We start from the raw sequence: 1,266 nt of genomic DNA, 5'->3' as shown, positions 1-1,266 counted from the left end.
TGCTGCTGAGACAGTCCCACCACAGCCAGAGGCTTCCCCATAGCTCCAGGACCCTCACTTCGAATGGGCCTTGGACACTGCTCAGTAATCAACCACTATCCATTGGCATCTTAAAAAACTTCACCACTCCTCAAACCTGTACCCCTCTGCCGTTATTCTTAGAGATGACACCACCTTCTACTTAACAGAGAAAGAAGATGCCACCCCTTGTCTTCTCCCATTGACACACACACACACACGCACACACACCTGCGTGCACACACATGCATGTGAACACATACACATGCAGACATTCAGAGACATGCACACACCCCTACATCTACCCTCTTCTCTTTTCCTCTGTTTCAACATGGAAGCTGTCGCTCTCATCTAAAGCCAACCCTCCACCTGGATTCTGGTGCCCTCCCTTTCCCTTTCCTCAGGAACCTATGTTTCTTATTATCCCTTCTTCTCTTGGATTTTCTGTCTCTACTTCTAGATAAGATCCTTTCAGCTAGCCTTTATACACAGTCAAATTACATTTTTTTTTTTTTTGAAATGGAGTCTTACTCTGTTGCCCAGGCTGGCGTGCAATGGTGCGATCTCAGCTCACTGCAACCTCCGCCTCCGGGGTTCAAGCAATTCTCCTGCCTCAGCCTCCCGGGTAGCTGGGATTACAGGTACCCACCACCATGCCTGGCTAATTTTTGCATTTTTAGTAGAGATGGGGTTTTGCCATATTGGCAAGGCTGGTCTTGAACTCCTAACCTCAGGTGATCTGCCCGCCTCAGCCTCCCAAAGTGCTGGCATTACAGGCATGGGCCACCGTGCCCAGCCCAAATCACCTTCTTAACCAAAAACAAATGCCACCTCTGTCGCCTTCTCATCTCCCTCAGCAACCACTCACTCTCTGTTTCTCATCTCCACTGCAGAGGCAGGGGCCGTCTGCACTGTCTCCATGTCCTTACCTCCCACTCGTCTTTTCTGACAGCTCTAGGGAGGCAAAAGTGATGTACAATGAACTGCACATACTGAAAGTGTACTATTTGATGAGTTTTGCCATATGTATACACCTGGGAAACCCTCACTATAATAAAGGTAATGAACATCTCCATCACTCACAAATGTCCTTGTTCCCATGTACAAGCTTCTTGCTCCATCACTCACTAAAAATACCCTTGATAAAGGTACCAGTGGTGTGCTTGCTTCAGTAGCACATACATTGAAATTGGAATGATACAGCTGCTCAAGGATGACACACAAATTTGTGATGTGTTCCATATTTTT

The 1,266-nt window shown here is 47.2% G+C and overlaps 1 pseudogene; it reads left to right on the top strand.

Moving 5' to 3' along the window:
- Positions 1 to 1,177: 1,177 nt before the first annotated feature.
- LOC124904715 (uncharacterized) lies at positions 1,178 to 1,266 on the top strand (annotated as a pseudogene).

This window comes from Homo sapiens, chromosome 1 (assembly GCF_000001405.40).
Source record: "Homo sapiens chromosome 1, GRCh38.p14 Primary Assembly".
NCBI lineage: Eukaryota > Metazoa > Chordata > Mammalia > Primates > Hominidae > Homo > Homo sapiens.
Note: the sequence above shows the minus strand (reverse complement) of the source record. Positions and strands in the feature narration are given on the sequence as shown.